The sequence below is a fragment of the Homo sapiens genome, chromosome 10, assembly GCF_000001405.40.
Source record: "Homo sapiens chromosome 10, GRCh38.p14 Primary Assembly".
NCBI classification, from domain to species: Eukaryota; Metazoa; Chordata; class Mammalia; order Primates; family Hominidae; genus Homo; species Homo sapiens.
In genome coordinates this window covers 118,583,405-118,597,436 of record NC_000010.11, presented here as the reverse complement: position 1 = coordinate 118,597,436, position 14,032 = coordinate 118,583,405, and the positions used below count along the sequence as shown (strand labels likewise).

The 14,032-nt window shown below is 48.6% G+C and overlaps 1 protein-coding gene across 1 annotated transcript, besides 4 other annotated features; it reads left to right on the top strand.

Annotated features, from left to right (window-relative positions):
- Positions 404–1,212: an enhancer, noted in NCBI's record as "H3K4me1 hESC enhancer chr10:120355737-120356545 (GRCh37/hg19 assembly coordinates)". NCBI's record gives its function as "activates a minimal SCP1, AML or CMV promoter by ChIP-STARR-seq in primed H9 embryonic stem cells {active_cell/tissue: H9 hESC(primed)}" and the evidence as "EXISTENCE:reporter gene assay evidence [ECO:0000049][PMID:30033119]".
- Positions 1,213–2,021: an enhancer, noted in NCBI's record as "H3K27ac-H3K4me1 hESC enhancer chr10:120354928-120355736 (GRCh37/hg19 assembly coordinates)". NCBI's record gives its function as "activates a minimal SCP1, AML or CMV promoter by ChIP-STARR-seq in primed H9 embryonic stem cells {active_cell/tissue: H9 hESC(primed)}" and the evidence as "EXISTENCE:reporter gene assay evidence [ECO:0000049][PMID:30033119]".
- Positions 1,789–7,440, top strand: PRLHR (prolactin releasing hormone receptor). Its single transcript, NM_004248.3, has 2 exons — positions 1,789–1,921; positions 2,187–7,440. The coding sequence occupies exon 2, from the start codon at positions 2,193–2,195 to the stop codon at positions 3,303–3,305; it is 1,113 nt and encodes a 370-aa protein (NP_004239.2). The 5' UTR covers positions 1,789–1,921; positions 2,187–2,192; the 3' UTR covers positions 3,306–7,440.
- Positions 2,022–2,830: an enhancer, noted in NCBI's record as "H3K27ac-H3K4me1 hESC enhancer chr10:120354119-120354927 (GRCh37/hg19 assembly coordinates)". NCBI's record gives its function as "activates a minimal SCP1, AML or CMV promoter by ChIP-STARR-seq in primed H9 embryonic stem cells {active_cell/tissue: H9 hESC(primed)}" and the evidence as "EXISTENCE:reporter gene assay evidence [ECO:0000049][PMID:30033119]".
- Positions 11,654–12,853: an enhancer, noted in NCBI's record as "MED14-independent group 3 enhancer chr10:120344096-120345295 (GRCh37/hg19 assembly coordinates)". NCBI's record gives its function as "activates an origin of replication core promoter dependent on BRD2, BRD4, P300/CBP and CDK7 cofactors, and independent of MED14, by STARR-seq in HCT116 cells {active_cell/tissue: HCT116}" and the evidence as "EXISTENCE:reporter gene assay evidence [ECO:0000049][PMID:35650434]".

Genomic DNA, 14,032 nt, shown 5'->3' with positions numbered 1-14,032 from the left:
CCTCAAAAGAAACAAATAAACAAAAATTAGTCAGGCATGGTGGTGTGCACCCGTAGTTCCAGCTACTTGAGAGGCTGAGAGGTGGGAGGATGGCTTTGGCCTGGGAGGTTGAGGCTGCAGTGAGCCATGATTGTGCCACTGCACTCCAGCCTGGGTGACAGAGTGAGATCTTGTCCTAACATATACATGTATATATACACACACACTGGTTTTAGCTAAATTGATTATAACTCAGGGACCGTGAGCTTAGGATGGACAGAGGTGCATAACATTGATTACTTTTGTTCCAATATTGACTTTTTTCTATATGAGTGATTCATTTAAATTTGGAGGGTGGAATAAATTGATATTAGTTTCCAGTCTAACTGGAATATCTGCAGCCAGAGGACAAAGTACAAGGACTTATCAGAGAGGAGACAATGAAGCTCCATGCTCTGGAAAAAGGAAACAAGAGGCTGAGGGAATGAGATAGCTTCTAAGGAGGGAGCTTACAAAGGCCCCTCCTCCCCTGGCTCTTGCCCCGTGGGCCAGGCTAATTTGCATTTCAATGAGGACTTAATACTACTGAAGATTTTATGAAACGCCTAAGCTTCTCAAATGTTTGTTACTTTTGTTACCCTAGCTGAAATCTGCAATTACCAGTATTTTTAAAAAATCCTAAAATGAAGAGAAGAGGCCTGTGGGTGTTCAGTCAAGGAGGGAGGGGTCAAGTCTCAGTCCAGGAACTACTCTGTGCTGGGAGAAGCAGCCAGATACGGCACAGGTCGCGGTAGCCGAGAAAGAAAGCGAGAGAAAGGGTGAGCCGGGGAGTCGCTGGGCCAGACTGAAGTGTGCCTGTGTAGAATAACTGGCAGGAGAGCTGCATTTTCTGACCCCGGGAGGTAAAAGACGACGCCGTCCTTGGCACTGAGTGCGGTGACCACCAAGAGGAGCAAAAGTCATGAGTCTCCGACCCCCAGGCCCCCGGCTCAGCTGCCTCCACTCCACCCTACTCTTCTCAGCCCCAGCCCAGAAAGCAGGCAGCGAGGCAGGTCTTTGAACCGGACCAGGTTCCTTCCCCAAACACCCGGATCCAGAGAGGGGCAGGAATTCCCTAGTCATTTTCCCCTGCTCCTCCCCACATCATCCGCCCGAGGGGCGGCAGATCCAGCGGAAGCTGTCCGTGGTGCTGACTCCTGCCTTTGGCTTGGCCGGACCCGCTGCCCGCTGAGCGCGCTGCAGCCAAGCAGGGGGCTCGTGTGGCGGGGCCACGGGAGGGTGAGGGTCCTCAGGTCCGCGACCAGCTCCAGGCTCTGCTGTTAAATCCCAGCCCGAGCCCTCTAGCGTCTCTGCCCTCCGCAACCTGGCCGCTAGGCAGGATCCAGCCTTTAAGAACGGGTCAGTCGTGCCTCTCTCAAGCCCCCAGCTGCATTGCAATCTCCCACCGCTACTTCCTTCCCCGCTCCTTCCCTCCTAAGACTGCACCGGCTCCTCCCGATAGCCTGACGCTTCGCGCCTCTCCTCCGCCCTCCTCCACTGTGCGCTCCTCCGGACCCTGACCCTCCAGGGGCCGTGCAAGCTCCTGCAGTAGAGATTCGTCCTCTTCGCTGCTCTGGCCAGGTTTGCCGGCCCCTCCTCCCGTTTCGGATTCCATCCTCCCCACACTGTCCTCTTCACTAGTTCTCTAAGCACCGAGCATGGCAGAGCGCGCTCCACCCCTATTTTCCATACATGGGAGCTGGAGTGGGGGGCGGAGCTGAGGGGAGGCGCTCCCAGTCCCTCTAAGAAGCTGCTAGCCCACTGGGAAACATTTGGATCCGTTCAGCTCCCGCGGAGAAGCGAGACCGGATCACCGACGTGGGCAGAGGACTACCGAGGGCCAGCAGAAATTCTGCCCCTTCTTCCCGCGAGTGCTTTCCCGCTCTCCAAACCCCACTCCCAGGTAGGATCGCGCTCCTGAGTCTGCCTGCGTGGACTGCGAGGACCGTAAATAGAGGCGGAAGCGTTTAAATAAACCGTATGTTCTAACCGTGCTTAGGTTTATTTTACAGAGGTGAGAGGACAACACTTTTTGCTACTTTTGCTGTTGTTCTGTGGCCGGTTATTCCCAAGGGAGGACTCAGGCGATGGGGGAGGGGCGCGGCTGGTGTAGGAGGTCGGATGGAGTATGGCAAGGGAAGTGACGGACTTTGATTACCTTTGAACAGGTGGCCATGGCCTCATCGACCACTCGGGGCCCCAGGGTTTCTGACTTATTTTCTGGGCTGCCGCCGGCGGTCACAACTCCCGCCAACCAGAGCGCAGAGGCCTCGGCGGGCAACGGGTCGGTGGCTGGCGCGGACGCTCCAGCCGTCACGCCCTTCCAGAGCCTGCAGCTGGTGCATCAGCTGAAGGGGCTGATCGTGCTGCTCTACAGCGTCGTGGTGGTCGTGGGGCTGGTGGGCAACTGCCTGCTGGTGCTGGTGATCGCGCGGGTGCGCCGGCTGCACAACGTGACGAACTTCCTCATCGGCAACCTGGCCTTGTCCGACGTGCTCATGTGCACCGCCTGCGTGCCGCTCACGCTGGCCTATGCCTTCGAGCCACGCGGCTGGGTGTTCGGCGGCGGCCTGTGCCACCTGGTCTTCTTCCTGCAGCCGGTCACCGTCTATGTGTCGGTGTTCACGCTCACCACCATCGCAGTGGACCGCTACGTCGTGCTGGTGCACCCGCTGAGGCGGCGCATCTCGCTGCGCCTCAGCGCCTACGCTGTGCTGGCCATCTGGGCGCTGTCCGCGGTGCTGGCGCTGCCCGCCGCCGTGCACACCTATCACGTGGAGCTCAAGCCGCACGACGTGCGCCTCTGCGAGGAGTTCTGGGGCTCCCAGGAGCGCCAGCGCCAGCTCTACGCCTGGGGGCTGCTGCTGGTCACCTACCTGCTCCCTCTGCTGGTCATCCTCCTGTCTTACGTCCGGGTGTCAGTGAAGCTCCGCAACCGCGTGGTGCCGGGCTGCGTGACCCAGAGCCAGGCCGACTGGGACCGCGCTCGGCGCCGGCGCACCTTCTGCTTGCTGGTGGTGATCGTGGTGGTGTTCGCCGTCTGCTGGCTGCCGCTGCACGTCTTCAACCTGCTGCGGGACCTCGACCCCCACGCCATCGACCCTTACGCCTTTGGGCTGGTGCAGCTGCTCTGCCACTGGCTCGCCATGAGTTCGGCCTGCTACAACCCCTTCATCTACGCCTGGCTGCACGACAGCTTCCGCGAGGAGCTGCGCAAACTGTTGGTCGCTTGGCCCCGCAAGATAGCCCCCCATGGCCAGAATATGACCGTCAGCGTGGTCATCTGATGCCACTTAGCCAGGCCTTGGTCAAGGAGCTCCACTTCAACTGGCCTCCTAGGGCACCACTCGAGGTCAATCTGGTGCTTATTCTCAGCACCAGAGCTAGCTAAGCCAACATAGGGCAACATTTCCAGCCCAGCCCTCTTGTCCGGCTGTCTGTCTTGTCCTTGTGTGTTTGTAAAATGTTAAGCGGGCTTTGGTGAGAGTCTTGCTCTTTGCTTGGGGGAGGCCAAAGAGAGGGAAGAGGATTTCTTATTTCTTCTTTATGCCCTTGAAGGACAAACAAAACTTTTTCTCCACGTTCAGAAAAGTATTTCAGAACCACGATTGCCTTCCTGGCGTCCCCTCCTCCTGCTCGTTGGTGAAATGAACAATATGAATGGGATTTAAAAGGAATGCATTGGGCTTGGTAAAGATTTTCAGTTTGCCTTTAGAAAAAGGACCCAGCTGAGAGTACCATGATATTGCTTAGTCCATTTGAACCCTTGCATTCCTAGAATTTCAGGTAAATATGTATTAAAACTCTACATCTAGGATTTCAGCATTTCCTGAGTAAGACCTTTATATGCCAAAAGGGTTTCGTTTTAAAACCACTTGAGTTTATAGTACAAAAACACCTACAAGCTCCCTTTAGAAAGGTCTTGCTATTGTTTCTCCCCTTTCCTCCCCAACTACTATTTAAAAATGATGAGACGAATTAGTCAATGAAGAGATAGATAAATAAAGAGGAAAAGGTCCAATTCACTTAAGAGGTCATTCAATTGTACCTAAGGACAGACATCCTCTGTGTATGTGTGTTTGTGTATGTGTGTGTATGTGTGGGTACACATTCAGTGTTTGCCACAAAGTGGGCACTCAAATATTTGGTTTTCTGAATACTCAATGTAAACTGTGTAGCGTGGCATTCTCCTGCAGTCTCTAATTGCTCACTTGCAACAGATCAACAGCTGTCATCTGACTGCTCAGCACCTGCTCTGTAGTGATTCTTGGAACATGATCAACCCAGAAATCAAGGACCGGCAGAAGTTTACTTAAGGACAGAACAGAAGAATAAGCTACCACCCACATGATGTGTAGATCAAACACTAATTACCTCCAGGGTTAAGGGAAAAGGTGAAGACTGTGGAGCATGATACCAGGCTGATAATCATCACCTTAACCTCCTGTGAGTTCTGTAAATGAGGACAAGTGCCTTGGGACAAAGGTCTCCACACTGTTGGAAAAGCAACTTGGGCAGTGAGGGCAGGAGTCTTGGGAAATGATACATAATATCCAGCTGTCAGATCAGCCTCTGTGTTCCCAGTAACTCAGTCACCATCTGTAGGGTTCAACTACTTTCCCAGCTCACTGAACACAAGAATCACTGTTTCACCTCCTCCTGCTTCTCTTATTCAGAAATAAGCTCAATTCATTCATTAAAATGTGCCCTAAAAGGAAAGGAAAGAGGGATGATATGGGAATGACAAGGGTTCAATCCTATTACATTCATGTCAACAACCATGGTGGGAGTGGGAGTGATCACGGTTGGGCTGGTTGGCATAGGAATCTTTAGTAGTTACAGGGCTAGACTTTTTGCACACAGTAAAGGGTAGGAAAGGCTGGCTTGGGAGAAAGGAAAAGGCAGGCAAAGATGGGTATGGAGGTTACCTCTGGCAATGGTGCTAAATGAACTTGAGCTTCATCCGTGGATTGGAGAACAAAGAACCTGTGTGCTAATAGTGCAACCCACCCCTGCCCCAGATAAGCTCATCTCCCAGGCATCCCGAGGACTGGCTCCTGTGCTTCCAGCAGCTATATTACTTGGGAGGCTCAGGGCCAGACATTTCTCATTTCCTCAGAGAGTTCCTTTGATGGTCATGTGTGGAGAGTGTAGATGGTAGAGGGGAAGGAGAGGGATTATTTGGGGAGGGATCTGATTCATCGTCGGCTCTTTGTTGGAAGGTTTGAATCACTGGTTCTCAACCCTGGCTGCTCCTAGAATCACCTGGGGAACTTTTTTTTCTTTTTGTAATTGATGTCTGGGCTCTCCTCCCAAGAGTCTAGTTGATTTGAGATGGTGCCTGGACACTAGCATTTTCCAAAGCACTTCAGGGGATTTTAATGTGCAACCAAGATTAAGCACCTTAAGAATTATCCTTTCTAGGGCTGGGCATGGTGGCTTACACCTGTAATCCCAGCATTTTGGGGGACCGAGGCAGGCAGATCACAAGGTCAGGAGTTTGAGACCAGCCTGGCCAACGTGTTGAAACCCTGTCTCTACTTAAAATACAAAAATTAGCCAGGCGTGGTGGCGCACGCCTGTAATCCCAGCTACTCGGGAGGCTGAGGCAGGAGAATTGCTTGAACCCAGGGAGGCAGAGGTTGCAGTGAGCTGAGATTGTGCCAGTGTACTCCAACCTGGGTGACAGAACAAGACTCCATCTCGGGGTGGGGGGTGGGGGCGGGAATCCTCTTTCTAATGAATCTCAGAAACATCCGAATGAAGCTTTAGTTGTACCTGCCAAAGGTGTTAATAATTTGGAGCTGAATTTGACGGTGTTACATGCCATACTTAGAGAATACTCTTTTAGTCTTCAGGCAATACCAGCTCAATCACAAAGAGGCAAATTATTGAAATCAGAATATATAGGGATTCGTTCAACAGTTTACTTACATATTTCTTATGTATCAGTCCAATCAATTCAGAAGGAATATCATCATTCAACCTTAGGTCAATTGTATTATAAAGTTACATACCATGGCCAGGTACCATGGCTCACATCTATAATTCCAAAACTTTGGGAGACCGAAGAGGGAGAATTGCTTGAGCCCAGGAGTTCAAGACCAGCCTGGGAAATATGGCAAAACTCCATCTCTACAAAAAATAGCCGGACGTGGTGGTGCACACCTGTGGTCCCAGCTACTTGGGACACAAAGGCAGGAGGATCACTTGAGCCTGGGAGGATCACTGGGCTGCAGTGAGCTATCATTACACCACTGCACTCCAGTCTCAGTGACAGAGCAAAATCTAGTCTCAAAAAAACAAAAAAAACAAAAACAACAAAAAACAACAAAAAACAAATTTACATACCATGAATTATTTTAAATCCTGGTTGTCAGGGTGTTAGAAAAAGTGCTCCTTGATTAGCTTAAGTTTATATCAACTATGAAAAACAAGCATCTCCATTAATTACTAGAAAAGCTGCCACTGGTTTCTGTCATGCCTACAACTTAAGTTTGAAACACTTACATGGACTTTATAAAGAGCTTAAAGAGGTTGGAGAATTAGATTGTGCTTATAAACATCTTTACATATTATGAAAATCAGCAACGGAACAGCAATTAATTCTTACAACATCTGAAATGTGTTGTGGACTAGTTTATAAATCAAACCGAATTTCAAAAAAATCAGAGGTGAGTCCCAGAGAGAACTGCGTAGGACTGTAGGTAGAAAATTTTATTTAATAATTCATTTTGGTTAATATCAAGCATCTAAGATGTATACACAGTCCTCTTCCTGCAAGGAGTAATACAGGCAGTCAGGCTGGGAACTGAGCCAACTTGGTACTTGGCAGCAGCCCTTCTCAAGGCTGATGGGAGGTTCTGTAATCCTCTTTGCAAGCTTTGTCACCAGGTCACACTTTTGGCAGCCAATCAATAGATTTATCTCATTAAACTGGCAGAAGAGTGTTTCAATGCATGCTCCAACAGCTACCTGGAAATAGCAATTGTGAGAGATGCTAAGGTAAGGATATTCCAGTTCCTATAACCGTCTGATTTTTTGTCCTTGTGAATTTTCAATCTGCTGTTTTACTGGGATAGCTAAGTTCCAGGTTTATTTTCTCAGGTAGGCTCACCCACGACCTCTGTCCTGTGGTTTGCATTCCTGAACATCTGTTAGTCTTTCAAATGCAAGGCACAAAACTAACCTCAAGAGTGTGGCTAGATCTGGGAGTGAACACAGGGCCTGTCCCTCACAGACGAGAGGTCAGGAGCACCTTTGTTTCCCAAGGCAGGTTCTTGATTGATTTACCTTCATGCGTTGATGTCTTTGCTATGTGTGTAAAATGCATGTGTTGCTGAATCACATGTGAAGCTCTACATGCTGGGGTTTATACTGTGTTTGGCATGTTGTGGGAGCTCAATAAATACTAAATCAGTTGCACAGTCTTCAGCCACAGGATTAATAAACCAAGCCAGTTATACATATGGGGTAACTACACAACCTCAGGATAGCCAGAGTCAAAGCAAGGATAAATCATGTCAAGGAAAACATGCTATTCAACCTAGATTTGTCAACTCCACCTTATTCCAGAGATGAACTGTTCATTTTGGGTCTTCTGTGACCCCCTGCCCCCAACCTCAGTAATGCCAGCATTTAAATATATGGCACCAAGCTCTCTACTCCCCAAGACTGCATATGCCTAAATCCACGGGTCCATCAAAATGAGAGTAGAGAACTTCATGCCTAATTTCTATACCATCATATATTGGAGAGTTATTTAAATGTTAGCATTTTATCACCCATTTCTCACACATAATTTGGGAAGGTCTAACAACATCCCACATATGGGTCTATAAGCAAAATCACGAGGTTTCTAAAATGTTCATGATGGAGTCATAAAAAAGATTTTTCAGTACACCTAAAATACCACTCAAAAATGGACATATGTATACCTTTTCAGCGACCCATTTATCCTACAAAGTAAAATAGTATACAGATGTGGGAAATGTAAAATATTTGGATGGATGAGAGTTGCAATCTTGATTGTTAAGACTGTACATTTTCCAGTCTTTGGAAACAGCCTTATTTTGAAAACTGGGCATGTACACTTCTCACAGGTTTTTGAATTGTTTTTCTTTGCTTTTAACACAATTCCTCTCCTTTTCCACTCTTTATTTCTCATGCCTTTTTCTGCTACTTTTTCATATTATCTGTATCTCCTCTCTAAGCCCCTTCTGCCTCAGTGAAGGGGAACTGGTGGGATTCAAGCATCCATCTCCTGGTCAATCGCTACAAAGTGAAAGATGATGGCGAGAACCCCTGGCTAATTCCACTGCAGAAGGCAGTCTGCACTAAGCTCCTAGAAGGCTGCAGTTTGTTGTATTTCCCACACACTGTGGGGTCTTGGAGTTCACACAATTGGTCATTTTGCGGTCAAACTGCAGGCTCAGGTGGATAACAGGAGTTTGCATAGACTCTCCACAGGGCTCTCAACCTGGTAAGTCTCACAGCGAGCTCTCCAGAGGAGCCTAACAATGAAAGGTCAAATGTGTTTCATTTTTATGTTTGGTTCTGGAGTAAAGAAACTGGAGTCAAAAAAAGCAAAGGAGAAACAGTCTGCTTTTAAGCATTCTCTGCCTCTCTCCCTCCCTCAGCTCTCACAATATCCTCTCCTTAACTTGCTGATGACTAAATCCCCTGGTCTCAGGACCCATCTCCTTCTTCTGAAATGACATCCAATGAAAAATGGAAAGCTATACTGTGAAACCCCTCCTTGCCCCCACAGTTATTGCCAAGCAATGAAAACACCCTTTTGACCTGGAAAAAATTAAGACTCCAGGTTTGAGCTCTCGGTTAGCAGTCAGGCACTGGGCTTTCCTCCCTAGCCTAGACCACAATCACCCTGGTTGGTGGCTGGGCACGGGGCTGCTTGGCAGGTGCTGGGCTCCCCATCCAGCTCTGGCATTATTGCGTCACCTCGGTCATTGTTTTTTGCGCATCACCTCCAAGTTCGAAGTAGTACAAACCACCTATTTCGCGTGATGGGGACTCAAGGAGTCTACATCCTTCAAACTCCTTGCTAGTGGAAATGGTCGGGACTAGGGGCAAAGAGGGAAGGAAATTTGCAGGTCAAGATGTAGTCGCCCCACAGGGCTCTCCCAGTGGGGCTTCTGGAGCAGCAGTTGCCTTTGTTTTTCCAGGGTGTGCAGCCCCTCAGCCCCCAGCTAAGTCCACACGCACTGAAAGCCGAGGTTCCTGCAACGTGGTGAATTCACACTTTACGTTTTTGGAAGAGGAGGGGTCAGCTGGTGAAACCACAGCAGCCCAGAAGAAAAGCCAAACCCACCTGTTGGTCCATTGCCCCAGGCAATTCGTTGATCTAAAGCTAGGCCTGCTGAATAGCAAAGACAGCTGTAGATTTTTTTTTTAATTACAAAATCAACATATTTTTTCTTTAAGTAGTAAGTGAATATTTCCCACCTGTCTTCCCTGGGCGAGTTAACAGTTTGTGCTTTTCCTTCCTAGGCCCTTCCAGGAGCATTCACAAACATATTCACAGTTTGTATTTTACCAAAATGCGATTAAACTACATCATTGTTGTGTAACTGACTTCCACATCCCTCCTCTTAAAATTATATCAAAGAAGACTTCTATGTTGGGTCATACTCATTCTGGCTGAAGAGGAATCCATGCCTGGGTGGACCACTGTTCAATCATTTTTCAGCCAGTGAGTGGTGTGGGTTAGAAGAGATAAATCTGAACTTAGAAGGTGCCCTAAGCCCTGCAGGAAATGCAGAGGAGTCGAAGTCTAATCACAGCCACTGAAAAGCTGTCCCTCTGTCCCTGGAGGGCGAGGTCCTCCTTGAAGCCCTCCCAGAGACCAAAACCATCTGGGTGAGGGGGTGGGACTCCTTCCCCTTAGCTGCTTCCAGATCCTGCACAGCACCCCACCAGGGCTGGGGCAGGCCCACCAGCTGTTCTCTGGCAGACAGCAACTGGTGTCTATGAGACTCTGCCAACCCAGGGTAGGATTTTCCCAGGAGTCAGGAGCATGGTAGGGTCCCTCTTCTAGCCATGAATCCACATGGGCACAGGTCCATGAAGAGTCAAATCCTTCACCTTATTTGCCCACAGGCAAGCATTTCAGCAGGGCCCTTAATACTGTTGAGGTTTTGTCAACAAAGGTGAAGGTGAAGGGTAGGGAAATATGAAGTATGGTGCAGGAACCAGTAGCTACTACAAGCAGAGGAGCTGTCATCTCTCAATCCAGAGACCAGAGGGCAGGGAGGAGTTGCTGAAACTCCCAAGGGTGGAGTCATTTAAAGGAGACTTTCTCCAGAGGAGCAGTAGCCTTAGATAGAGGGATGGGGCCAGCCTAGGATAGAGGGTTGAGCCAGCCTGGAGTGGAAGGATGGGCCAGCCTGGGGTGGAGGGATGGGGCCAGCCTGGGGTGGAGGGATGGGGCCAGCCTGGGGTGGAGGGATGGGGCCAGCCTGGGGTGGAGGGAAGGGGTCAGCCTGGGGTGGAAGGATGGAGCCAGGCTAGGATGGAGGGATGGAGCCAGCCTGGAGTGGAGGGATGGGGCCAGCCTGGGGTGAAGGGATGGGCCAGAATAGGATGGAGGTATGGGGCCAACCTGGGGTGGAGGGATGAGGCCAGCCTGTGGTGGAGGGATGGGGCCAGTCTGGGGTGGAGAGATTGGGACAGCCTAGGATGGAAGGATGAGGTCAGCCTGGGGTGGAGAAATGTGGCCAGTTGACTTCTGTACTAAGTGTCAGAAAAGTGATACATAAACCATAAACAAATGCCATGTGAATTCAATGGTGGGGCTGTTCATGTATGACCCTGGCAGTCAGAAAAGCCTTCATGCAGGAGGTGATATTTGAGCTAGACTTTGAAGGATGCCTGGGATTTTCTTTTATTTTTTTTTTATGAGACAGAATCTTGCTCTGTCTCCCAGACTGGAGTGCAATGGCACGATCTTGGCTCACTGCAACCTCTGCCTCCTGGGTTCAAGTGATTGTCCTGCCTCAGCCTCCCAAGTAGCTGGGATTACAGTTGTCCATCACCATGCCTGGCTAATTTTTGTATTTTTAGTAGAGACAGGGTTTCACTATGTTGGCCAGGCTGGTCTCGAACTCCTGACCTCAAATGATCCATCCACCTTGGCCCCCCAAAGTGCTGGGATTACAGGCGTGAGCCACCACCCCCAGCCAATGCCTGGGATTTTATGTAATGAAGAGAGTAGTGGCAGGAGAGCATGCTATGGGCAGGGTAAGGTGATTAGCAAAGGAAGGAAAGGGTGATGCCTATTTGAAAGAGTGCAGGCTGTGCTTACGAGACAGAGTGGTGAAAAGCTGGCTGAAACTAGATTCAGGAAGATTAGTAATACCAGTTAGGTTGGCTGAATTCTTACTGTGTGTAAGGCACAGTGCTGTACCTTACATTGCATCACTTATTTCTCAGCACATTAGGAAGTAGACATTCTCATTGTTATTTTTATTTTACAGATAGGAAAACAGATATTTAGAAAAGTCAAGCAATTTGCCAAGGAATGATGTATGGGAGGTGGTGGAGCTGGGATTTGGTCCAAAGTCTGCCTTCCTAACCACTATAAAGTCCTACCCTGAGTTTCAACCTAAGGAGTCTAGCTCTTCTTGGGAGGCAGTGGGGAGCCAGTGAAGGTTTAGGGTGAGTGGGAGATAAAAGAATGACTTGTTTAGGAAGGTACTCTGGGACCTAATGCTGGCAAAAGGGAAAGTGTGGAATGGGAAGGCAGGAAGTGGGGAAATACATTAAGGAATTATTGCATGGTCCAGGAGAGAGAGAATCAGGACTGGAAGTGGGCCAGTTTAAGTGAGGATGAAGAAGAGATAGGTGGAAAAGGGCCTTAGAGAGTAATTAGCATCATATCTGAATGTCTTACCTCGTTCAACATTTCACGTTTGCCCCAGGAAGAAAAGGTAGCATATGGGATCTAGGCCACAGATGCTCAATTCCCACGTCAATCAGGAATGCTTTCTGTAGGAAGTAACAGAATACCAAACTAACCACAAGGCAGAAGTCCTAAGGTTCTTTATCATCTGATTTACAAAGAAGTCTGGAGGTGGGTGGGTGTCAGGTCGGCCCAGTAGCTCAATGGTGTCATTGAAGACTTAAAATCTTTTTCTGTCTTTTGCCTCCATTCATCGTTAACTGCTTCACCTTTATCCTGATGCTGTTACCTCAGGTCTTCAAAATGGCTGCTAAAACTCCGGATACTCATCCACATCCGAGGCAAGAAGGAAGGGGAAAGGGAAACACCAGCAACTCTCCTTCAGTGCAGGAAGGCAGAGGCCTTCTCAGTTGCTCTCGTTATGTATCACTTGCCAGAACTGGGTGACATACTCCTAACTGAAAGGGAGGGAAAGAAACCCTTTTACGCCTCTAAAATGGGAGGTTCATACTGGCCATTGGGTTATCTGGCCCACAGGACTACCACAAGTCCAGGGCAGCATCTTCTTCAGGCCTTGTTCCATATTCAAGAGCCCTTGTTCCATATTCTTCCCAAATGAGAGGGAACAAACATGTGTTGGGTTCTGAAAAGTGGCAAATTGTAACTCGGGGAATATGGGCCTGAGTAACCACTGCACACTAATGGCTTCCAGCCAGGCCTGCCAGTGTTGTGATTCACATTTTATGAGTCATCAGCTGTATCTTAGCAGATAGCTGCTAGAAAGTTGAAGTTAATTTCTTTTTAAAAATGTCGTAAGGTAATCATAAACCATGGAGACTCAACGGTGATGAAAATGGATGAAAAATAACATAAAGATGCTTGATGCTAAAGCATAACTGTGCTCACTGCTGAGTTTTTTTCCCCTTTTTTATGTTATGATGCTATTCCTGCTTTTATGCTTCCAGATTGTGATAAGAGGGAGGGTTGGCTACCTGCTCTGTTGCCAAACTCCCAAACGCAGAACCCTGGTCATTTTAAGGCAATTTTGAAGTGTGGGTTTCCTGCTCTGCTCAACACGTGGGTCCCTGCACAGATGTTGGCATTTGTTACAGCACCTTTGGTCAACCTTCCCTGAGGGCCAGGGGCTAGTGTGTGCCTGCTGTATACTCTTTGTAGCTCAGAGTTCACAACCTCGAGTTTTCTGAGAAGTTGCCAAAGTCAACCTCCATTGTTCTGAGGCATAGTCACATTGAATCTCACTAGGCCCAGGATTCTGTGGCAAAGTCCCCCACAGAAGAAGACCATAGGAGGGCATGGCTGTTCCCTAAGAGATAACCCTGAGGTGACACATGGCCTCCTCTTTTAGGAACTGTGGGTAGCTCAATCAGTCCTAAAGTTGGCCTGATGCTTCTGGAATGCTGTTTAGAATAACACCCCATTTCCTACTGCAGCGCCTTCTACCTTGCTCTCCTCCTGGAGGAAGAGATCTTTCCCTTCAGGTCTCAGCTTAAATGTCACCTCCTCAGAGATGCCCTCTCTGACTGCCTCATTTAAAGTGCTCTGGCCTCTTATTCTTAACTTTATCTCCTTGCTTTTTCTCTTCATGACGCTCATCATGATTCGTCATGACACATTGGTCTGTCCTCTATGAGATGTGAGCTTCGTGTGGGTACAGGCCATATCTGCTTTCTTCACCCATGTATCCCCAGGGTCCAGCGCACTTCCCTGCAGTGAGCCAGGCTGCACCCAAGAGGGCTATGACTGCAAGGTTAGTGCCTCCATCCATGGACTGGGCATAGGCTTTTGCCAGGGGAATTTCTATTACGTTCCCAGTATTGTCTTTGAAAGTACCCATAAAGGAATGACTTGTTCAGGAATGTACTAGATTTCCCTTCTTGTTTTTCTCATTTAGAGGCTCCCTTAATCACACAACTATGAGGTCTGAGATTATGAAACTTCACATAGCAAAAACAAATGAGTTAAATGACTTGCTTCAGAATGCAGGTACCATTATCTGATTTTAATAAATTGAAAGGTTCCCAAACCTGGCTGTGCATTGGAATCATTTGCAGAGCTTTTCAAAAACACAGGTTC